Below are 24,648 nucleotides of genomic sequence, written 5' to 3'. Positions count from 1 at the left end.
TGCTTTTATTCTCTTATCTAGCCCCACCCACATCCTGCTGATTGGTCCATGTTACAGAGAGCCGATTGGTTTGTTTTGACAAGGTGCTGATTGGTCCATTTTGACAGGGTGCTGATTGGTGCGTTTACAATCCCTGAGCCAGACACAAAAGTTCTCCATGTCCCCACTAGATTAGCTAGATAAAGAGTGTCCACTGGTGTATTTACAAACCTTGAGCTAGATACAGAGTGCCGATTGGTGCATTCACAATCCCTTAGCTAGACATAAAGATTCTCCAAGTCCCCACTAGACTCAGGAGCTCAGCTGGCTTCACCCAGTGGATCCCGCACTGGTGTGGCAGATGGAGTTGCCTGCAAGTCCCAAGCCGTGCGCCTGCACTCCTCAGCCCTTGGGCGATCCATGGGACCCGGCGCTGTGGAGCAGGGGGCGACTCCCTGGGGGGGCTCCGACGCCACCAGAGCCCATGGGGAAGAGGGAGGCTCAGGCATGGCGGGCTGCAGGTCCCGAGCCCTGCCCCACTGGGAGGCAGCTAAGACCCAGGGAGAAATTGAGCACAGCCCCGGGGAGCCGGCACTGCTGGGGGACCTGGTGCACCCTCCGCAGCTGCTGGCCCGGGTGCTAAGCCCTTCACTGCCCGGGGCCGGTGGGGCCAGCTGGCGGGGCCAGCCGGCCGCTCTGAGTGTGGGGCCTGCCGAGCCCACAGCCGCCCACCTGGAACTCGCACTGGCCCGCAAGCACCGTGTGCAGCCCCGGTTCCTGCCTGTGCCTCTCCCTCCACACCTCCCCGCAAGCTGAGGGAGCCAGCTCCGGCCTTGGCCAGCCCAGAAAGGGGCTCCCACAGTGCAGCGGCGGGCTGAAGGGCTCCTCAAGTACGGCCAGAGTGGGCGCCAAGGCCGAGGAGGTGCCGAGAGCGAGCGAGGGCTGTGAGGGCTGCCAGCATGCTGTCACCTCTCACTATCATGTAAAACAAAAGAAGAAGGTAGCATCAGTCATTTTCTCTTTTCCTTTTTCATCTTTGGTGGAAAGGCAAATTGTACTCATGATATAGGTGTACCTCAGTTGTAAGTAATGATGAGTAAAGCTTTCACCTTTCTTGGGTCCATTGTCTCTTGTATGGTCTCTACTGAGATCCGCCAGTGGAGAGCAGAGAATCAGGGTCTGGCCTCAGTAGGGAATCGACCCAGCAGGGATGGAGAGATCTACCCACACTGGCCCCATCTTATGATGGCCATTCGGCCACTTTTTACTTCCTTGTTTGTGCCATTGAATGCTGTACTCCTTCCCATTTCCTGTCTGCCTCTACCTTGTTATATCAATATTCGGGCTTATCTTTTTTCTCTTTTAAAATGTAAATAATTCAAGAGAATAAAAATAAAATTATTAGTCCAACTGCTTTCTCTTTATCTAAATAGTCAGCATATAATAATATTCTGATTAAACACTTATTTTAGTTAGACTTTGTTGGTCTCTGCAAGATCTTCTGTTTCATTTGTTTAAAGCAGTTCATTTTAAATTAAAACATATTCATTGTGAATTTGTCCTTTCATCTCCATAAGTGAGATAACCCAAAGCAGAACGAATTTCCCATAGATTTATTATCCATTTGAAAATTTTACATCAAAATAAATTTGACTACACTATAAATAATTTACATGAATCTGGTAAAATGTAAAGAAGTTTGTCAGAGTGGAAAAAAAAATGACGTTCCAATAAGGTATTTTGAAAATTGTTTGCAAGATTTTTCATAACCATTGGTGTCTTTCTCTTTATTATCAGTGTTATGGAAGCCATCCTCTATTATCTTTTTTCTCATTACCTTGTTCTGCTTGGTGTTAGAATACAAGACAATATCCCCTCCTCTTTCTGGATATGTTTTCTTACCATTGTTTTTCAAATATGTTTTCTTGTTAATCCTTACTGTTTGAAGTAGTGTGGGCTTTCTGCTTGCCCAGTTAAGCTCTCCTGCTGCGTTTCTGGCCAATTTGTTTTTCCTTAAAGATTTTTCCTTCTTCCCCTGCTGTGAACATGCAGCAGGACTCACCAATGAGTGTCTCATGCTTGCAATTTTAGTGTAAATGGTGCCCGTGGACTGTCTTTGTTGTTTTATCTCTCCATGTTGATAACCTCTGAGCAGGAAAAAGACTACCTTGGGCTCCTTCAAAATTGCATTAATGGCTAAGTATTTCTATTCTTATTAGCAGAAAAGCTCTGAGAATGAAATGATTTCAAAGTTAAAAGCCCAAATGTAAACCTGTGCCTAAATAAATGTCAAAAAAAAAAAGTCATTGCATTTTCATCCAATGAAATACTGGATAACTATTTCCCACATAAAACTGTCTAATTTTAGGATGTATGAGGTATGTAAAGAAAACTAAGAATGACTGAAAAAAATTATTTTTTAAATGTCCACATTTTAAATAAAAGTTGTTTTCATCTGGGAATGTTTCCCTTTTAGTGCCTATTCAGTTTTCTCTTTTCTGTCAGGCTTGGCTAGAATCATCTATTTCCTGTCTCAAGAGGCAGCACATTTGACTCAGATATCTTTCATCATTCTTGAAATTCAGTTGCTAGGTTGCTTCTTTTCCGTGCTGCAAAACCTGACTACAGCATTTTCCATAAACCAAGTAGAAAAAAAAAATCCACTCCAAATGGCCGTTTTTCTTATACAGCAAATTTTGACTATCATTATGCTGAAATGTCCCTTTGAGCATTAAGTATCATAGATAGGGAGAAGTTTAAATTGCCGTGGTAAGTAGGCTTTACTGTATTGTTTCAATCTCTCTCAACATTAGTAGCTGTTTAGAGACTCATTTTGTTGGAGCAGAAAACAAAATGCCTTTCTGGTATGGAAAGTTCACACCACATAATTTGGACCCTTCAAGCATTATGTTTTAAAAATTCTATTTCAACCATGTCTTTAAAAGTTAATTCCAATAAAAATACTTCTACAGTACTTAAGTAGGGGATCACTAGCTAAGGGGTAGACGATACATTTTAAAAATGAGTACTTTTACTAGTTAAAATGAAAAGAGTACTTTAACATCCTCCTTTTCTACTCCCAGATTGCCTTTATATATGTCAATGTAATATGCATTTGAGCTTTGAGGAAACTGGGACAGAGAGAGGCTAAGTGACTTTCCCTAAGACGCACAGAAGGCAATGGACAAGCTGGGATCTGAACTCAGTAAGTCTAGGACTGCATTTTAAACTATTGTGTCGCATTCCTTGCCTGAATAAACAACAGATGACTGATATTGTAGCGTTAAATCTAAATATGATCAACACCTAATGAACAGTGACAGCAACATGATTTACCACTTCTCCTGGAATATCAACACTCCCAGTAAGGAACTGAAGAGGTTTTGGAATCCAGATTAAATTTGCATGGTCACAAGGATGTTGCATGTTGCTATTTCAGCACGCCAAATGCTAGCTTCATCATCAGAAATTAAAAGCAATTTCTCAAATTATCTATCTTGCTATCCAGGACTCACATGCTTCTCTTTTATATTCATATTTCCCATAACAGGGAACACAGGTCTAAACAGAAATTAGAGGCTCAATTTATATTTTAATTTTAAGGAATCAAATTAGTGAGTGAGAAGAGCAAATAATTTACTGTTTACCTCCAACATTTGTGCATGTCTCTCCTCATTATATTCAGGGTTTACGTGAGTAATATTATAAATTGTTAAATGTAATATTTTTAAAAAATTATATCAATTATATTTTTCAATATACAATTGCATTCTGTTTTTGACTTTATCTTTTGACTACTTAGTGATAAAATTTGGACTAGAGATAATAGGTTCTCAACAGCTGGACTTAAATTAACTTTATTACTTCCTCAAGCTTTTGTACAAAGCTCGAGAGTTCTTTTTGTCTTCTTGATGAAACTTGGATTTTTAAAAGCTATGTACCAGATCTCACCTCTAAACTTAGTTCTTATTGCCAGTTTTAAATTTTTCAGATCCCTACACTTACAGGGTTATAAAGAAGCAAACCTGTGGCACACATTTAGGTGGGATAATTTATTCATCCTTTCAGACAATATTTCTGCCTTACAGAAAATAAAACAAGGCATTCTATTGATAGTTTGTATTTAGACCCTTAATATAGCCAACAACAACTTAAACGAATTGTCTTAGGCATTGTACATTTCCTTAACGACTTTTTTCTTTCTGTCCACTCACACCTATTAACAGGAGTCATTTATTTTAGCCTTTGCCGTCTATCCAGAAAGAAGCCATATCTCATAATATTCTCTTATGCCCTCCTTCTTCCACTTCCATTTTAGAAAATAAAAATAAAACCTCACTGAAGGAATGGAAAGACTCTTGGAGTAGAAAAGGTGAAGACTGTACTTTTACTTGCAGGTATCCTAAATCTCAGACACTGAAATCCACACAGAGCAAGCTTGGGGTAATGAGGCTCTGAGGAAGCACACTGTGGAGGAGGCGACACTCAGTACCACTTGTCCCGGAGCCAGACTCCTGCAAACTTCAGCCATAGCACAGCTATCTTCAGTTTTTCATAAGCTGATGTGAGTCCTCCATGTCAGCATAATAGTGTATAAGGTCAAGGAATATTCTCTTTGGATTATAATAATTATTACCTGTCTATACTACTCCTCCTTTGGGTAGCCCAGTTGACTGGGTGATTTGCTGACATTGTCTCTAGTTCCTCTGCTACCACATCTCTAAGATCACGTGACTTCTCTCTCGATCCCAGCTTCGTCACTTCAATTATTGATCTCACATTCATTTTCCTCATTTGTTTTCAGTTTTCTATTATCTTTTGTATACGTTGGTATTGGTCGTGGGTTTAATACTGCAATACAAGACCCCCAGACACTCATCTACAATTCTATTTATTGGATTTTCTTTATCTCTCAAAAATTGTCTACATTTGCTGTCTCTACTTCTTAATTTTTAAAATTTTCTGTTTATCCCACTCCAATTAGGCCTTCAAATAAAAACTTCTTTTATGTCTCTTCTTCATTTTAGTCTCATCTCAGGTGTCACTTGCTCTGAAAGATATTCTCTTTCTACCATTTTAAAAGTAGTCCCCGATTATATTACCATGTCCATTATATTTGTAATATCTATCACTAATTAACATTATATTGCTTATATAATGTATTTCTTTTTTATTGTATTTATCATCTTCAGATCATGTTACTACTTGATAATGTTGTTATTTATTTTTCTATGCACATATTGTGTTTTCGTCAAACGTGAGATTCATAATGCATCAATCTTGACCTCTACCTTCCAATAGTTTTCACTCGTAAATATTTTATTAAATGAAAACAATCTTCTGCTCGGAGGCTCAACTACTATTCCCAGTCCTGAATACTTATATAAAAATACTGAAGTAATGATTCCAGCTAGTTTGGAATTATTAGTAAATTTCCTGGGCACTAATATTTTGAACTATTTTCCCCTTACGTGAGGCAAGGGACTAAGGTAAAAAATGGTCTCTGCTACCCTAGTTATTTTTTCTCCCATACCATCCAGATCAGTAGAAGTCACCAGAATTCTCTAGGGCTCGATTATTAGTGATGAACCATGTTTAGGTGATTCCAAATTAATTCATTCCCTTCTGTTGTCTACATGCTGTGTTTTTAAATTTACCAGCAAACTAACCCTGTCTGAAAACCAGATTTTCCACACCTTGGGAGAAAAATGTCCAAAAATTGACATGTAATTCTATTTGATCAGGCATCTTTCATTGAACCTTATAACATCTTGCCAGAAATGTTATTTACATTATTAGATAAAATACTGCGTTGGAAAGTGTATTCCTTTGTAGAGAAATTTCAAAGTGCAAATTTAAACCAGCTCTTCCCTGAATTGCAGGAGGATCCAAGTAAATGCATTTAAAGTAATATAAGCAATGCGGATACTCATTTTGACCCAAGAATGCTGAAAACTTCCTTAGTATTAGCTAAGAAACATTAGATTTTAGAAGTCATTTGATTCTAATGAATGCTTTTTAAACATAAAATGTGATATGAAACAGAATGGCAAAACTAAAATAAAAAGGGTCCTAGTTACTGTAAGTAGCCAAGAAAACCAAGATAATTGTAACAAACAGATTTTGAGGGCATTGAATTAACATCAAAAGGGAGGTACAGCAATATTATGAAGCCAGAGAAACATCTTGGTACTATGATATTGTCTCTCAGAAAATTGTGATCAACTCTCTGAAATCCACTTAACTGTTCTGAGAAAATCAGTACCTCTGCAATTGCAGCATTGTTTGGTAGATTCCATTAGAATGACAATAGGCAGTTAGTAAAAAATACTTTTATTTATAGAAGTTTCATAATGCCAAAGAAAACAATGTATTTCAGAATATAGTTAATGCTTAAAAATGGCAATATTAAACATTTAAAGCTAAAGTTGTAAAGTTTCAAATGGAGGATAGTTTGCATAATCACTTAGAATTATATGTTTTTATTCTTCTGCTAATACTACTATTGCACTAAAACAGCCACTGAAAGCTTTTGTGATCTTGAAAAACACTCAGATTTAACAACAAAAAAAGGAACTTTTAAAAGAAAAGTCTAACCTTTTCTTACTGCAGCGTAGATGCTCTAAAGTATTTTGTGATGAAGACAATTTATAAAATAATAATGTTAAACTAAGCTTTATTAAAGAAAATAATATTGAATTTCTTGAGGAGATAAACATAGCTTTAATTTCATAACTTTTTTTTGTGTTTTGTTTTTTTCACAACTTTTCTTTTAGCCTCTTGTTATCTCATTTGCTTGTCAAAATTGTTAGAGGCATTTGATATAGTTACCAAATCTCTGTTGCTTTACCAAAAAAAATTTCAATCTTATTGCTGAAAGACAATTTTCTTTGTAGTTGTGTATGTTTTATTTCATAGATTTAGTAAGTTTTCATTTCTAATGCACAGTAATTTCACCTTCATATTGAAATATAATTTGTAGAAATAGAACATTCTAGAAAATAAGTTTGCTTTAATATGAGATAAAGGGGATTCGATGATCTGAAGAGTCATAGCACTTAACTTGGAATTTTCAGAGACCAACTCTACAAGGGGAAGGTCTCCTACTTGCCAGTGAGGAACATTCAGTCTTCAGCTTTCTCCTATGCTCCTCCTACATCCACATTCTTCCCCTTCTCCGCTCCTCCTTGTTCTTCCCATTAAATGTGATCATCCCCAGAGCTCCTTTAATCTTCATTTTTAAAATTCTGCTTTTTAAAAATTTATACATATATATATATGTTGTATATATTTTGGGGTAGATGTAGTATTTTGATATCTGTATACAAAGTTGGATGATCAAATCAGGACAATTAGGTTATTCATAACCTCAAACATTTATCTTTTATCTGTGTTGGGAACATTACAAGTCTTCTCTCCTAGCTCTTTTGAAATGTGCAATAAATTATTGTTAACTATAATTTCCCTACTGTTCTGCTGAAATGCTAGAACTCATCCCTTCTATCGAACTGTATTTTGTACACCTTAACCAAATTCTCTTCATACTATTCTCTTTTTATGTTTTCTCTACTATATTATCAAAACCACTGTCAGAACCTTGAAATTTCTACCAAATTCCTCAGGCAAAGTCAATTCCTTGGCAACTTATCATCTGTTATAACACTTATGTTACATAACATAATGGGTTTCACATCTACGCCAAATCAGAGTTTAATTAAGAAATAAAGCTTTATGGTCAGTTTTAAGGAAATAGTACATGTTAACTTAAATAATAATGATAATAAATAGGATTTTTTACATTCTGAGAGAACTTGCTATGAATTATCTACCGTTATCAGCGTTTCCAATTCATTTAAAATTATGATATTTTAATAGCTTATCCAATTATTTTTATTGTATGAAGCATAACATGCCTCAATGGTAAAAAATGGAAACATAAGATTTAACAGGACATTAATGCAGTTTGAAATTACAGTAATTTTGAAATTAAAACAAAAAGATGGAAAACCAAATAATTTTTATAAAAATTTCTCAACATTGAATTTGTAGATTGCTTTGGGAAGTATGGTCGTTTTCACAATATTGATTCTACCCATCCATGAGCATGGGATGTGTTTCCATTTGTTTGTGTCATCTATAATTTCTTTCGGTAGTGTTTTGTAGTTTTTCTTGTAAAGGTCTTTAACCTCATTGGTTAGGTATATTTCTAAGTATTTTATTTTATTTTTTGCTCTATGGTAAAAGGGGTCGAGTTCTTGATTTGATTCTCAGCTTGGTCACTGTTGGTGTATAGCAGAACTACTGATTTGTGTACATTAGTTTTGTATCCTAAAACTTTGCTGAATTCATTCATCAGTTCTAGGAGCTTTTTGGAGGGGTCTTTAGGGTTTTCTAGGTATACAATCATATCATCAGCAAACAGTGACAGTTTGACTTTCTCTTTACCAATTTGGATGCCCTTTATTTCTTTTTCTTGTCTGATTGCTCTGACTAGGACTTCTAGTACTATGTTGAAGAGGAGTGGTGAGAGGGGACATCCTTATCTTGTTCCAGTTCTCAGAGAGAATGCTTTCAACTTTTCCGCATTCACTGTTATGTTGACTGAGGGTTTGTCATAGATGGCTTTTATTACATTGAGGTATGTCCCTTCTGTGCCAGTTTTGTTGAGGGTTTTAATCATAAAGGGATGCTAATTTTGTCAGATGTGTTTTTTGCCTCTATTGGGATGATTATGTGATTTTTGTTTCTGATTCTATTTATGTGGTGTATCATATTTTTTATTGACTTGCATATCACTGCATTCCTGGTATGAAACCCACTTGATCATGGTGAATTATCTTTTTGATATACTATTGGATTTGGTTAGCTAGTATTTTGTTAAGGATTTTAACATCTATGTTTATGAGGGATATTGGTCCGTAGTTTTTTGTTGTCATTGTTATGTCCTTTCCTGGTTTTGGTATTAGGGTGATACTGGCATCATATAATTATTTATGGAAGATTCTCTCTCTCTCTCTCTCTCTCTCTCTCTCTCTCTCTCTAAGAGTCATTCTCATTCTGTCACCCAGGCTGAAGTGCAGTGGCACCATCTCTGCTCACTGCAACCTCTGCCTTCCGGGTTCAAGCAATTCTTCTGCCTTAGCCTCCCAAGTAGCTAAGATTATAGGCACCCACCACCACACCCAGCTAATTTTTATATTTTTGGTAGAGATGGGATTTTCCCATGTTGGCCAGGCTGGTCTTAAACTCCTGACCTCAAGTGATCCACCTGCCTTGGCTTCCAAAAGTACTGAGATTACAGGTGTGAACCACTGTGCCCAGCTCCCTCTTACTCTATCTTTTGGAATAGTGTCAACAGGATTGATACCAATTCTTCTTTGAATATCTGGTAGAATTCAGCTGTGAATCCAACTGGTCCTGGACTCTTTTTGTTGGTAATTTTTTATTACAGTTTCAATCTCACTGCTTGTTATTGGTCTGTTCAGTGTTTCTAATGCTTCCTGAATTAAACTAGGAAGGTTGTATCTTTTTGGGAATTGAGCCATGTCCTCTAGGTTTTGTAGTCTATGCACTTAAAATGTTCATAGTAGCCTTAAATGATCTTCTGTATTTCTGTGATGTCAGGTGTATTGTCTCCCATTTCATTTCTAATTGTGCTTATTTGGAGCTTCGCTATTCTTTTCTTGGTTAATCTTGCTAATGGCCTATCAATTTTATTTATCTTTTCAAAGAACCAGCTTTGTGTTTCATTTATCTGTTGTATTTTTGTTTGTTTGTTTCAATTTCATTTACTTCTGCTCTGATCTTGGTTATTTTCTTTCTTCTGCTGGGTTTGGGTTTGGTTTTTCTTGTTTCTCTAGTTCCTTGAGGTGTGACCTGAGATTCTCTATTTGTGTTTAACAAAGCAAACAAAAACACGAAGTAGGGAAAGGACACCCTATTCAACAAATGGTGTGGGGGTAATTGGCAAGCCATGTGTAGGATAATGAAACTGGATCCTCATCTCCCACCTTATACAAAAATCAACTCAAGATGGATCAAGGACTTAAATCTAAAACCTGAAATTATAAAAATTCTAGAAGATAACATTGGAAAAATCCTTCCAGATATTAACTTAAGCAAGGATTTCATGACTAAGAGCCCAAAAGCAAATGCAATAAGAACAAAGATAAATAGCTAGGACTTAAATTGAAGAGCTTTTGCATTACAAAAGGAACACTCAGAAAGGTAAACAGACAACCCACAGGGTGGGAGAAAATCTTCACAATCTATACATTCAACAAAAGACTACTATCCAAAATCTACTAGGAACTCAAACAAAGTAGCAAAAAAAAAATCCCCATCAAAAAGTGGGTAAGGACATAAATAGACAGTTCTCAAAAAAAAGATATACAAATGACCAATAAACACATGAAAAAATGCTTAACATCACAAATGATCATGGAAATGCATATAAAAACCACAATGCAATACCACCTTACTACCTCAAAAATGGCCATAATCAAAAAATCAAAAAGTAATAGGCATTGGTGTAGATGCAGTGAAAAAGGAATACTTCTACACCACTGGTAGGAATGTAAACTAGTACAAACATTATGGAAAATAGTGGGGAGATTCCTGAAATAATTAAATGTAGAACTACCATTTGATCTAGCAATCCCACTACTGAGTACCTACCCAGAGTAAAAGAAGTCATTATACAAAAAAAATACTTCACTTTCATGTTTATAGCAGCACAATTCACAATTACAAAAATATGGAACCAGCCCAAATGCCCATCAGTCAATAAGCTGTGGTATATATATGTACAGTGGAATACTACTCAGCCATAAAAAGGAAGGAATTAATGGCATTTGCAGCAACCTGGATGGGATTGGAGACTATTATTCTAAGTGAAGTAAAAGTAACTTAGGAATGGAAAACCAAACATTCCATGTTCTCACTCATAAGTGGGAGCTAAGCTGTGAGGATACAAAGGAATAAGAATGACACAATGGACTTTGGGCACTCAGGGGGAAATGGTGAGAAGTGAGTGAACGAGAAAAGGCTACAAATTGGGTTCATTATAGACTGCTGAGGTGATGGATGCATAAAAATCTCACAAATCACCACTAAAGAACTTACTCATGTAACCAAATATCACCTGTTTCCCAAAAACCTATGGAAAAAAAAATTCTCAACATTTTATCTACAGTAGGATTGAGTCAATGAACATTACAATGATAATTGTATAGTACATATATTTTATATTACTTAACATATAATTTAATTACTTATTAATATTATTTTTATTTGTGTATAATTTATTCAGAAGTATTTATGTTAGATTCGTCATTTAATAAGTATAAAAGCAATCTGAGAAAAAACTGAAGAGATAATAATGAACAATTATTGTCTTATAGAAAATTATATTTTATAAAAATCAGTTTCCATCCTTCTGGTAATAAATATGTTATTCTGAAAATTGTACACTTAAGACATATTCAGTGCTTATTCATATTGTTTTACTCTTCTTATCCATATTTCTAAGTTGTATAAGACAGTAAAAAATGCATTTGCTTATTGAAAGAATTAATTCTAGAACCTGAATGTATGCATTATCAAAGAATATCATCTTTAGTTTTTCAGAACTGACTTCTAATTTCATTACATTATGAAATAGTATGGTATAATATATAGTGTTCTTAGAGTTAAATATTTTTTTCTGATAACTCATTGAAATACAACTAAAATAACCAACATAATTCTGAATAAAACTTAATTTGATAGCTATTGTCTACATAAATCTGCACAAATGTGAATTTTCTTTCATAGGTTCTTGCAAATACACTAATATTTTTACTGAAGCATATATACTGAACCATTTGTATCCTGCATTTTTAGAGAAAGGTACAGAAAATCCTTGTGGTAGACTCAGTCTCTCTCTACTGCAAAGAACAGGTAAATCATAGTCTAAGTGTAGCTTGGTGTATTCATCTATTCTTGCTCTGGTATAAAAAAATATTTGAGACGGGGTAATTGACAAAGAAAAGAGGTTTAATTGGCTCCTAGTTCTACAGGCTGTACAGGAAGCATAGAGGCTTTTGCTTCTGGGGAGGCCTCAGGAAACTTACAATCATGGTGGAAGGCAAAGGGGAAACAGACACGTCTTATATGGCAGGAGCAGGTCCAAGAGGGAGTGGGGAGGTGCCACCCACTTAACCACGTCCCATGAGAACTCTATTACCAGAACAGCACCAAAGGGGGAAATTCACTGCCATGATCTCATCACCTTTCGCCAGGAGCCATCTCCAACATTGGAGAGTACAATTCAAGATGAGATTTTGGTGGGGACATAGATCCAAACTGTATCACTTGGACATGAGTAGAGTTCTTTAGTTACCGGTAACTGGAGGTAGACCTGAGCCTCCCAAGGGAAAAACTTACTGTTGAAATGGGACAAATCTGACTGGAAATAATATATATATTGTGGATATAACAATGAATTAAACATCTCTAAAAAACTATATTGAACAAAATGATTCGAAGTTTTCTATAACATTTTAATTACACAACAATAGTTATTTGAATGCTCACTGCCAATTATTTTAACGTACATTGTTCTTTTGTTTCAAAAAAATCATGGGTTTATTTTTTTTAATGCTTCTTTTTTTTTCCTTCTTTCTCTTTCTTTCTTTTTTCTTTTTCAGATGACACGAGAACAATACATACTAGCAACCCAACAGAATAACCTGCCAAGGACTGAGAATGCACAACTTTACCCAGTGGGAATTTATGGATGGCGAAAGAGGTGCTTATACTTCTTTGTCCTTCTGCTGTTGGTTACCATGATAGTTAACTTAGCCATGACAATATGGATATTGAAAGTTATGAATTTCACTGTGGTAAGTACCACTATGATTTTACATCTTATTGCTCTTGGTTCAGAGACAATCTAGCTCTGTTACTTTAATTTTTTAATCAAAAGTTATTCATATCAATATTTACAAGTGTGTGTTTTTAAATCCCAAAGAAAATAATATTTTATTTTAAGAATACATTCAGTAGGTTCAGTCCTGACACACGTATGCTATTACTACCTGCCATTTAAGTGTGGGAAATTTAGATCACGAGACAGTACAGCACATTGATTCATTAGAACATTTCAAGAACATTTAACCAGTAAGTATGAACTATTACTTACTGTGTCTTAAAATCTAAGAAATTAGCCTGCTTTTAGAAGTGATACTTCACATTAAAATTAATATTACTTTTATAAATCATATGTGCCTTTGAATTACTTCATATAACATATATACCTTTATATATCTCTATATCTGCTTTCTATGTAACACACTGCATGACTGAATCTGAAAGCCTGGAATTTCTCCTGAAGTACATTGACTAATGCCTATAATTGCCATCAGATGGTGATCCCATTCTTTCATAGCACATCCCTCGTAAATGGAAGATAAACCAGCAATTAAATCACTCTTTTATAAAAGTAACTAATTACAAAATGATTGTATAATGTATTAATGAAGTTTGCTGCAGTTTACTGAATGTTTATAATAAATCTATGAGCATGACTTATCTGGGAAAATTTTGTGGCTTCAGCAAAGTCCAGTTTAGCTCACTTTATATTTTCTGGCTGATGCCTTCAGTTTCTCTACTCTGCTTTTAAACCATTCTGCTTTTCCTTGGGGACCTCAGATATCTCCACATACAAGCAAGTATCTTTCACTGCTGACCAGACTGCTATTATTCTTTAGAACTCTGCATCCTCAGGAGTGAGTCTAAAGCTGGCTGTTTAACTTCACTGATATTCCTATACTGGGCTGTTTAAGTTTGTTTGTTTGTTTTTTAAACCCCACTGGGTATTGGTTTAGCAAGAATCGTCTCTTTCTGACTTCACTAACTCTTAATTCTAACTCGGAAACACAATATCAAAAGGGAAAATGACCCTAGCTGCCGTCCATGTTGTAAGGCACCACAATTATGTGAGCAAGGAGCCTGTGCGGGCAGGTGGCTTAACCTTCCAGAGAGGAGACACTGTCACCTTGCATATCAAGATAAAACAGCATGTGCTCATGGAGGGAAATGAGCCACGGTTCCATTTTTTTTCCAATAAATTATAATTTTGTAAAGTATTCATCAAATAAGAAACTGAAGGCAAAGAAAAGTTGGCCAGGAGTCAATATTTTCACAGAGTTAGAAAATAATAACTGTTGCCTAGACATGGATATGCGTCCCAGGTCAGGGATCAAGGCATGAGGCCATGTGAGGGTGGCTAGAGGTTGAGTTGAAGGCTTGTAGGTACATTCTCCCTTATGAGATTCTCTGGGAATGCATCTGAATCACTTCTTTGTCTAAGAGTTGGCTCACTTTACCCTCTCATTTGGGAATATTTTGACACAAATATCAACAACTCTAGCCATCATATTTCTGTTCTCAGCTCTGCTCCTGCCTTCTCTGACTACTGTCTGGGTGTCCTTCAGGAGTCATTTATCGTATGGTAGGAGCAATGTTTATGCTCCTGCACATTCTTTTGTCCTGCTTTAAATAGCAACCAGACTATCAGTTGCTGAAAACATTTTCAGCCTCATTTTTTAACTAAAATTAATATTATAAAAGAGGTAAAGCATATTCTCCAAATTTTGAAATTTCAGTAATATGATTTTCTCTATCAAAGGCATCTTTCAAAAGCTCATGAATGATGCGACAAGCTCTCTCACTTCAGGGAGCATTGATTCCTTCCAATGACTAAACCCCAGGAATTTTCAGGTTCAAGCCTTGTGAGCTTTTCAAGCATATTTAAATTAATTAGGAAAATATACTTAAATGCGTAATTACATGGCTACATGCATCAGACTCCCAATACTTTGCCCCATGCTGACACCAAGGCTGGATAAGCCATCCCTGTTAAATCATTGACACAGTCACCTGTGTCCTCAGGATCCTCATGGGCCTCAGGGTTCCTGTCACCCATGGAGCTCTTTAATTTGAACCTCAGCTGGCCAGAATGTAAATTATAATGCAACATGGTCCTGGGGATAATTAAAAGGGGGTTGTTTCCATAGGAGTGTTGGTATTTATTTATTTATTTTTTTACGTTTTCCTTTGAAGCATGTCTTTTAAAAAATTATGTTTTGACCTTTTTATAATCAGAAGGAAAACTGTCCTTCCTTCACCCACGAAAACTATTTGCATGTAGCTGAAGTAAAATGCACAGATGAAGTTTTCAGGAATGTATCACACTGTAAGGTGACACACTCTTTGTAAGGTAACACACTCTCTAGCTCAATGTAGTCACTTATAGTTGTTCAGAAAAAATTCAGAATTCCTTATGTAGTTGCAGACTTCAGCAATCCTGAATACTAGAGATTATGTTGTATATACTTGAAGGGTGTGAAATAATTTGTAATCGTCTTCCATCAGAGCAGTAAAATAAAACCAATGTTATGTTTTTACTAGTGCATTATGTTCCTTTTCATATCTACAGAGAATACCAAAGACTAGTTGCCACACTATAGTAAGAAGTAGAAAATCATGCGTCAGTTGTTTGGGGAGTACTATTGATCTACACAAAATGTATTTCACTTTCATTATAACTATTGTATCCAACACAGGGAAATCTGTGGCTGTTAACATCTTTTATTTGAGCAAACTGGGCATGTTATTTTTATCAAAATATTGTATTTTTAGCATAGCAAGGATAGCTGCCAACATGTTTTATGATGTTTGTGGAAGTCCATCATTATGAGCGATATTCTGCATGATGTATATGATTGATATGCCCTTGTGTTTTTGGAAATAATTTGTGTTTTTCATTTTTTAGAAAATAAAATTATTCTACTTATTGAGATACCCAGTTGTAGAAAACCAAAAAAGGAAATGACTTTATATTACAGGATGAAAGACTTAGGATAGAAATAAATAATTTCCTGGCTATGAGAGCAGATACATACATACATACTTTCATATATATATTTTATATATATATAATATATATATTTTATGTATATATATAATATATATAATATATATTATATATATTATATATATATTATATATATAATATATATTATATATATTATATATATTATATATATTATATATAATATATATAATATATATAATATATATAATATATATAATATATAATATATATAATATATATAATATATATATGAAATAGTTGAAGAGGAAAATTTGAATCATCAATTTGTTGAGGTCAGTACAACCCATTTCCATGTTATCAATTGCTATTTGGTTGATTACTATAACATCTTTGTGGTTTAGTTAATAGACTAGTCTAGCAGGTCTCTCAAATCCAGGCATTCTACTGAGGCAGTATTCTTTTCTAGCGTCAACACTCATTCTAAATAAATTCTTTCTATATTTGATAATTGAAGATTGTTACAATAATAAAGTACTGATTTTAAGAACAAAAGTACCAACTAAGGTTTGGTGGCCTCTAGCTGATAGATATGCTAACTAGCCAGCAAAAAAAAAAAAAAGAATTACAATATAAATAATATTTATTAAGCAAATGGGGAGAGCAAATTCATTAATGCTGTGAGTTAAAGAGAAGTCAAGAATACCCAGACCTGGGTAATAATTGAAGCAATTGATTAATTAAACAAATTGGGGAAAGAAGTCTTGCGTGATCATTGGGAAGAAAGTTGGCTGAAAGAAAAATCCCAAGAAAATAATTGAGTATCATTGTCGTTTTTGGATTGAAAGGGAATTGGGAAATTTTAGAACAACTATCTGTACATTACAAGAGATCATTTTACGATATTTTCTCCATTTGGTCACTTGGCATCTGCTTAAACCCTGAAAGGCAGGTAATTTTTTATGGCAATATGATGTATGTCCTTCTAAAGGGCCATCTTGAGTTGGGAAGAATTGATGGCAAGGTTACCAGCAATCCCAGGTCTCCTATTGCTGGTTAAGACCTCATAAGCACAGGAGATGCTCCTGTGATCTACGCAATGGTATTTATTAAGTTGGAAAAAACAGTTTTGGGTTCTGAACACCAAGGTTCATAATTCCCAGCGGATCCTGCATTTAGACCCCACACATAGCAGTAGTACAGCCAGCTGTCATCACTGACACTTTAAACTATTTATTATGAAATATTTCATCCTACAAAAGAAAAAGCAAACTTTACCAATATCTTGTAACTCCATGTAGATAACCACAATCCTGAATACTTTTCCTGCTTTTATTTATATGCTTATTTAATGCATAAATATAAATTTTATATAAAATAAATATTTATATAATTTATATAAAATAAATGCATAAATATAAATATTTGTATGCATGTATATGCATATTTGTATACAATTCAACCATTATATTGTTTTTAGCACAAAATATATATTATCGCTTGTGCAGCTGTAATTCATTTATTTACTGCTATACATTTCACTGAATGAACAAATCTCATTTATTTATCTCTTCTCCTAAGTTGTTTCCAATATATTTCTGTTGTTTAATTTGCTATCACAACCAATGATCTTACGAATTTTCTTGTATGTCGGTGTTGGTCATTACATTTGCACAAGTACAAGAGTTTCTCTAGGTTCTAGCGTCTAGAAGGAAGTCTAGGAATCTTAACCTTTAATGCCACCTTTTTTTCCCCAGTGTGATTGTATCAATTTATACCACCACTAGCAACCTGTAGGAGTTTCTTTTGTTGACCTTACCAACTTAACTCTTAACAATTAATTCCCATCTAAACTAACTTGTTACCTCCTAAGCTACAAATCTGATCACCTATCTTTCTCATAATAATCTTCCTTATTTACTTGTTTCTTTCCTTATTTATGTGGCCTTTTCTGGCAGATTTATTCTTTTATTTGTCTGTATTCATATATGTCTGTATTCAAGTATCTCATCCCTGTGATAGGATTTACTATGTTGTATTAGAAATATAATTATATGGTTCATCCAAATATGTACCTCTTCTCCTCTATCAACGTCCCCGCATTTCCTTGTCCCTTTGAAGTGTAAATTCCCTAAGGAGCAGAAGCTGTTCTTATTTACCTTGATATCTTGGTTGAGCACATAGTAGGTGATACATTATTTTTCGCTGACTTTTTTTAAGTTTTAAAAGTGTAGGTTCACTTTCAGTAGAGGGATCTTCAAATTTAATGTTTTAATTTTTTCACTTGTTCTCTCAGTAAACTATTTCAGATTCTGATCCGTTCCCATTTTTAAATGAATGTCCTTGTCTCCTATGAACAAAGTGGCATTACTCAAGTCTGTTCACATCTTTCATCTAGGGTGGCTAGCTTCCCCTGATAGGAGGAAAAACAGCATAATTTCTGTCCGAATCCGAAAGCACTTTGGTAAGATAGTTTTTCAGTGAAAGTACAGTCCTTTGAATCTCCATTTACTAGCTCTGTCTGACTTCCTCAGTAATAACTACTGTAAAACCTGTCTTTTCTTTTTTAGACACACACACACACACAAACTTGAATTTTACTTAAAGTCGCTATTTTCCATACTACTCTACCTTAAGGCAAGATATGCTGGTAATTAACAGGCAGCATTGGCCGGCAATTAACTGGTAAATTACTACCAACCACCACAGCCTCTGTGCTAACACTTCTTTACAACCCCTCTAGAAAAAGTAATCTGGCCTTTAACAGGAAGAGAAAATAGCTGTGTTTCAAGACTTCCAGCCTCACCAACTGCAGTAGAGCCTCAGCCTGCCCAGCAAAATCAGACATAATTCCCGCCAAATACCTCTTCATTTAAGAATTGAAATCAATGGAATAGAACAATTTCTTGAGAAAATTGTTGACCCAATTTGGTCTCATATGCAGGATATTCTGATTTTTCTGAACTCACTTTGATTTTTTAAAAATACACATACACATGCACAGGCACATACACCAAACAAAATAAGCCCCCACTAATTATAATCTAATTTTCAGTTACTAAATGAAAGCTGAAAAAGGTCAGTAACGGCAGAACTTAGAAAATGGGAGAAACTTTATTTAAATAGCTCACAGGGATAAAATCAGGGGTGTATGTTTTGTTATGTGCATTTCTCGTGGAATTTTGATAGAACATAGACTCCAAATTTTTAAAATTCAGAACCTCATGCTTTTACCTGTAAGCATTCATTTTTCTCAAAAACCCACAACTAAATCAGGATGTTTTTTATATGCAACAATTTAAGAACATAAAATGAATTCATTTTTATATTCATAAATGTTATATAGCCAGGGAATAAAACAGGACCCTGTCTTCCCTGCCCGTGGAGTATTTTCTTATACAAAATTGGTGTTGATTGCAAGAATTCGTCATGTTGCTGGCTGCTAAAACCATCTCCAACTAACCTTTCAGCAGTGGTTCAAAGTATGAACCCTGGGGCTATACCTTTTTGTCCAAGTCCTGGCTTTCTCATTTATTAGCTCTATTACCTCGTGCAAGTTATTTAAACTGTGGCTCTGTTTCTTCCTCTGTAGAGTGGGTGTGATCTATTTCATCAGGCTGATGTAGAAATCAAAAGAATTAAAATAATAAAAGTGTTCCAGAAGTACCTGACATATACTAACAATTAATTAACAACATATACTATCAGACTTATCCATATTCTGCCCTTCCATCTTCACAAAGGTCCTATCTGCCATGTGAATGAAATTTACTCTTTCTGTTAAGGTTGAGCATAAAACAATCCTAGACACATAAAAAGATCTCAATAAATATGCATTAACAAATAAATAAGTGAAGGGGTTTATAATTTTGTAAATCCAGATGATATTAACAAGATTGATGATGTTAACCTGATTGAAGGTTTTGGACCCGAGCTTTGGAGGCAAATAGCCTGATTCACATTATGGCTCCAAGACTAGCTTCTTAGCAGGGTTACCTTGTGCTGATTACTGAACTTCTCTGGCTTCGGTGCTTCATCTGTAAAATGGTGATGATGATGTTGATCTCATGGAGATATTCGAAGCATTAAGTGAGTGAACACTTACAAAAGCTCTTTAAAACAGACCTTAGAGTAAACACTCAATTAATGCCAGTAAAGTACAAGAACAAACATTATTTCCATGCATTATTAGCTGTGACTAATGAAAGTTATTCTATATGGTACATTTTGCCAGGAAAAATGTCTTATGTCCTTGATGAAGGCATAAAAAAGATTCTTTATGAAATTCTAATTTAGTGCTGAGATATAAAAAGCGTTTACATAAACTTCTAAGAGGAACAGTTTAGCTGTCAACCATCATTGTTATTTTGATGACACTAAGCAGATTATGAAAACCTGTGTCACCTGTCAGCACCCTTTCTGGCCGTCTGAATGAGGGAGCTTATTTGTCAGAGCGAGCTAATCTTCTTTTGAAACATCTTGAAAAATGTAATACTTACAAATTGTCTGGATAATAAATTGGAATTTCTGTGTTGATTCTAAATATGCTGAGTTTCTTTAATGAACAGAGTGTCAAATTATTACCTGATTAAGATATTATATTGTGAATTATTTTGTAAAATACCCTGAATTATAACGTTCAGGCTATAGCCATTTAAATATGAGAGGAAAGTTTAAGATGCCAGAGAGCCCATATTAGGTACTTTTTTTTTTCCAGCAAGATTATATGCATTATAGACCAGGCTTTATGGAGTTTCACAATAACACTTTAAAGCAAATATTGTATCCCCTCTGGCAGATGAAAAGGCAGAAACTTAGGGAAATTAAATAAACTTCCCAAGGTCACACTGATGAACAAGAGTAAAAGCATGGGTTGTATAGTTTCTGAGATTCCACCGCATTTCATTGTATTAATGCTACTAAATTTAAATTTAAATTCTTTTTAAAAATATTCTTCAAAAAATGGTTTACTTCCTTTACATGGTATAACTCCGTGCTTTCATATAACACCATTAAATATATAAATACAATATTACTGCTTATTAATTATCTTTTGAACTTGGGCAAAAGATATCTTAATACCCTCAAACTTTATTAATTAAATGGAAGAATGTACCTAATCTCTCATAGTTAGTGTGTAATTAGAATGGTTAAAACTGATCTGTAAGTGCCAAGTATGACTACATTTATGAGTTTAGCAGAGCGGGCATAGGTTTAATTTCTGGAGAGTACAATGACATTTATTAATGGCACCTTTATAAAAGAAACAATGATTTTCAGAAAGCTATTTTATCCCTGTGATTGCAGTTTAGTCTTCGCACTGGTTAAACTATATTTTGCTGAGTAGTAACTCATTGTCCACGATAAGAAAGCACTCTGGAGGTGATTTAAGCCCGTAGTTTTTGCCCGCCTTTCTGAGCTGCCATTTCCATTTTCCGAATTCATTCCTCAGCACGCACATCATGGCACTTGCCCTGGAGATGAGACAGGGCTCCACCTTCTAGGGCGTGACTACAGCTCTGCCTGCGAGCACCAGCAGCAGAGACCGCACTGCCCCTCAGTGTGGTGTGTGTGGATTTATTACAGGATTGATGAGAGTAAATGATATCGTTAATGTTGCAAGACTGCTTCCATTATACCCTTCCGTATGCAGCTCCTCATGATTTTCTGACAAATTGTCCCTCTCAGATGAAATCTTTCATGCTTAGTCTTAGCTGGCAGTATATTTCCTTTCCTTGACTTTATAAAGAAAAATTCAGTCATTTTTATCCAAGTGCAAACAACTACCAAGTGATAAGTTCTTTTTCCTGAAGTAAACTACAAGAATTGTGGCATAAGATAAATCACAAAATCATACATAGCAAGTGCAAAACAAAGTTCATTAGAGTACTAGAAATGTTGCCAGAGAAAAAGAAGGATTAAGAAAATTAGCTGTTGAATAAAAAAATACAGAAATTAGAGACTTGTTAGTTGATAGGTTTGATATATTGTACAATAGACTAGAGTGAGGGGGTGGGGAACTTTAGTTTAGTGCCCTTTTTTATCTATAAGAAGTGACAGAAGTCCAGAAAATTAAAACCATTTGCCCTTGTGGATGGCTAATAGCCAGGACATAAAGTAGATTAAACACATTGAACTTTATGAAATATGTGTGTCATCTCCATATGTAAACTTATTTTTGCAAGTAATAGCATATAGTATATCTTAAATAATATGATGCTTTTAGTAGGACATTTAGAAAAAGAATTTTAAGTTTTAAAATGAAATAAAAGTAATAATCTTAAGAAGGGTTTATGTTTTCGCTATTTTGTAAAAAAAAAAAAAGTAAGCATTTGCTTTTCAAAAGTATAATTGAAATATTGTCTTATTTGTTGTTTCCAAGCAAAGATAATATTATCTTAATAAAAATTATCTTATTGGGCAAGAATTTCTATGATTTATTATTTTGAATAATAATAGCATCACTGTCCTTTCTATTGCCAGTTGGTAAACTCATCCTCAGACCTAATAAGTATTTCTACCATTTATGAAAATTAAATTTAGTTTTCAGTCTGTGTCAGTGTTTATTGGGGGACATGCCCCCAATATTTCAATGTAGGTTCTTTCTATTTTCCATAAGTGTCAGCCGGCTGAGAAATAAAGAGAGACAGTACAAAGAGAGGAATTTTACAGCTGGGCCGCTAGGGGTGACATCACATATCTGTAGGACTTGATGCTCGCCTGAGTTTCAGACCAGCAAGTTTTTATTAAAGGTTTCAAAAGGGAAGAGGGTGTAAGAACGGGGAGTAGGTACAAAGATCACATGCTTCAAAGGGCAAAAAGCAGAACCGCTAATAAGGGTCTAATAAAGATCACATGCTTCTGAGGGAACAGGACAAAGGGCAAAAGCAGGACTACTGATAAGGGCCCAAGAAAGATCACAAGGCAAAGGGCAAAAGCAGAACCACAGATAAGGGTCTATGTTCAGTGGTGCACGTATTGTCTTGATAAAGATCTTAAAGAACAGAAAACAGGGTTCAAGAGCAGAGAACCGGTCGAGCACAAATTTACCAGGGTGGAGTTTTCCCCACCCTAGTAAGCCTGAGGTTTCTGCAGGAGACCAGGGTGTATCTCAGTCCTTATCTCAACTGCACAAGACAGACATTCCCATAGCGACCATTTATAGACCTCCCCCAGGAACGCATTCCTTTCCCAGGGTATTAATATTAATATTCTTTGCTAGGAAAAGAATTTAGCAATATCTCTCCTACTTGCACGTCCGTTTATAGGCTCTCTGCAAGAAGGAAAATACGGCTGTTTTTCCCCGACCCCGCAGGCAATCAGACCTTATGGTTGTCTTCCCTTGTTCCATAAAAATCGCTATTATTCTGTTATTTTTCAAGGTGCACTGATTTCATATTGTTCAAACACACATGTTTTACAATCAATTTGTACAGTTACCACAGTTATCACAGTGGTTCTGAGGTGATGTACATCCTCAGCTTATGAAGATAACAAGATTAACAGATTAAAGTAAAGACAGGCATAAGAAATTATAAAATTATTATTTGGGAACTGATAAATGTCCATATTAAGATGAAATTTTCAGAATTTATGTTCCGCTGCCACAGCTCTAGCCAGTCCCTCCGTTTGGGGTCCCTGACTTCCCACAACAAGTGTTTTTTAATATTTCTGGGAAATCACCATTAAAGCCCTCTTACAAATAATTACTCTGTGCTCGGGGCTCCTTACATCTGCTGATAGGTGAAGCTTTGGGGTAGGTAACCACTCCATTCTCACAAACACTGGTGATGGGCCATAACACATCTCTAAGAGTATTTAACAGTAATTCATCTTGTCTTTCAAATTCTGTAATCAAATCAGGCACACAGCTACTAAGTAGTCAAATATGTAGTCAAACAGAATTTGAACTCAGTCCGAAAATGCTATATTACTATGGTACTTGTGTGTAATTTACTGGATAGATCTAAGATTATTTATTCATTTATTATTTTATAGAGAGGTGATAATTTTAAAGATCTTGCCTTGCCCGTACTAAATAACCAGTGTAGTCCAAGTTCTTAACTAAGATGGCCAAGTAGGATCCGTGATTCCTCAGTTTTTACAGTAAATATCTGTTGTGATCAAACCTAAAGATGGCCTTGAGAAATTTATCTTAAGTGATTACAGCACCATGGACAAGGAAGGAGATTTGGTCTCTTTACACAATACTTTTTGTGCCCTTGTGACTTGTGGGTGAACTGGGTATTTTAAATTACTTTTCCAGGATAATGATGGAGGCTGTCTAGACTTCATTTTTACCCAATCATGTAATAATGATTTTAGTGAAGGGCAAACTGTGTTTTAAGAACTCAGCAGAGTTACAGGATGCTTAGAAATGTCCAGACCATAATTAATATACATCACAATTTTGAAAGTTAAATAATAGATTAGAAAGAATATTTGAACAAATTTCTAGGAGGAGTCTGAATAGAGAAAGTCTGAAAGAAGTCAAAGTATATAATCACACTAGTACAGTATTAGGAGCAAGAAACCAAAGCATTCTGAAGTACTTACATAGTTTTATTTTAATCATACTTAGAACAATTGTGAAAATACATGTAATATATAATTATGTTATATTACATATAATGGTGCCAATGTTCCTAAATAAAATATCCAAGCAGAACAGACAGATTAAAGTAAAACCAGTCAATATAACACAGAGTGTAATAGCTCAGTTTTTGTACTTAAGCTTGTTTACAATCACTGGTTTTCCCCCTTTCTAGCTGAATGAATTTGAAGAAGTTTTT

General features: G+C 35.1%; 1 protein-coding gene across 4 annotated transcripts in view, besides 1 other annotated feature; it reads left to right on the top strand.

Moving 5' to 3' along the window:
* SGCZ (sarcoglycan zeta) overlaps nt 1-24,648 on the top strand; it is a 1,153,587-nt gene that overhangs the window by 670,837 nt on the left and 458,102 nt on the right. For 3 of the 4 annotated variants that reach the window (NM_001322879.2, NM_001322880.2, NM_139167.4), the window contains exon 2: nt 12,669-12,863. In NM_001322879.2, the coding sequence (NP_001309808.1) occupies nt 12,669-12,863 (195 nt within the window). The remainder of the gene's footprint in view (nt 1-12,668; nt 12,864-24,648) is intronic. The other variant, NM_001322881.2, reaches the window with a different exon arrangement.
* Nucleotides 1,811-2,312: an enhancer, noted in NCBI's record as "NANOG hESC enhancer chr8:14422792-14423293 (GRCh37/hg19 assembly coordinates)". NCBI's record gives its function as "activates a minimal SCP1, AML or CMV promoter by ChIP-STARR-seq in naive H9 embryonic stem cells {active_cell/tissue: H9 hESC(naive)}" and the evidence as "EXISTENCE:reporter gene assay evidence [ECO:0000049][PMID:30033119]".

Source organism: Homo sapiens, chromosome 8, assembly GCF_000001405.40.
Source record: "Homo sapiens chromosome 8, GRCh38.p14 Primary Assembly".
Lineage (NCBI taxonomy): Eukaryota > Metazoa > Chordata > Mammalia > Primates > Hominidae > Homo > Homo sapiens.
Note: the sequence above shows the minus strand (reverse complement) of the source record. Positions and strands in the feature narration are given on the sequence as shown.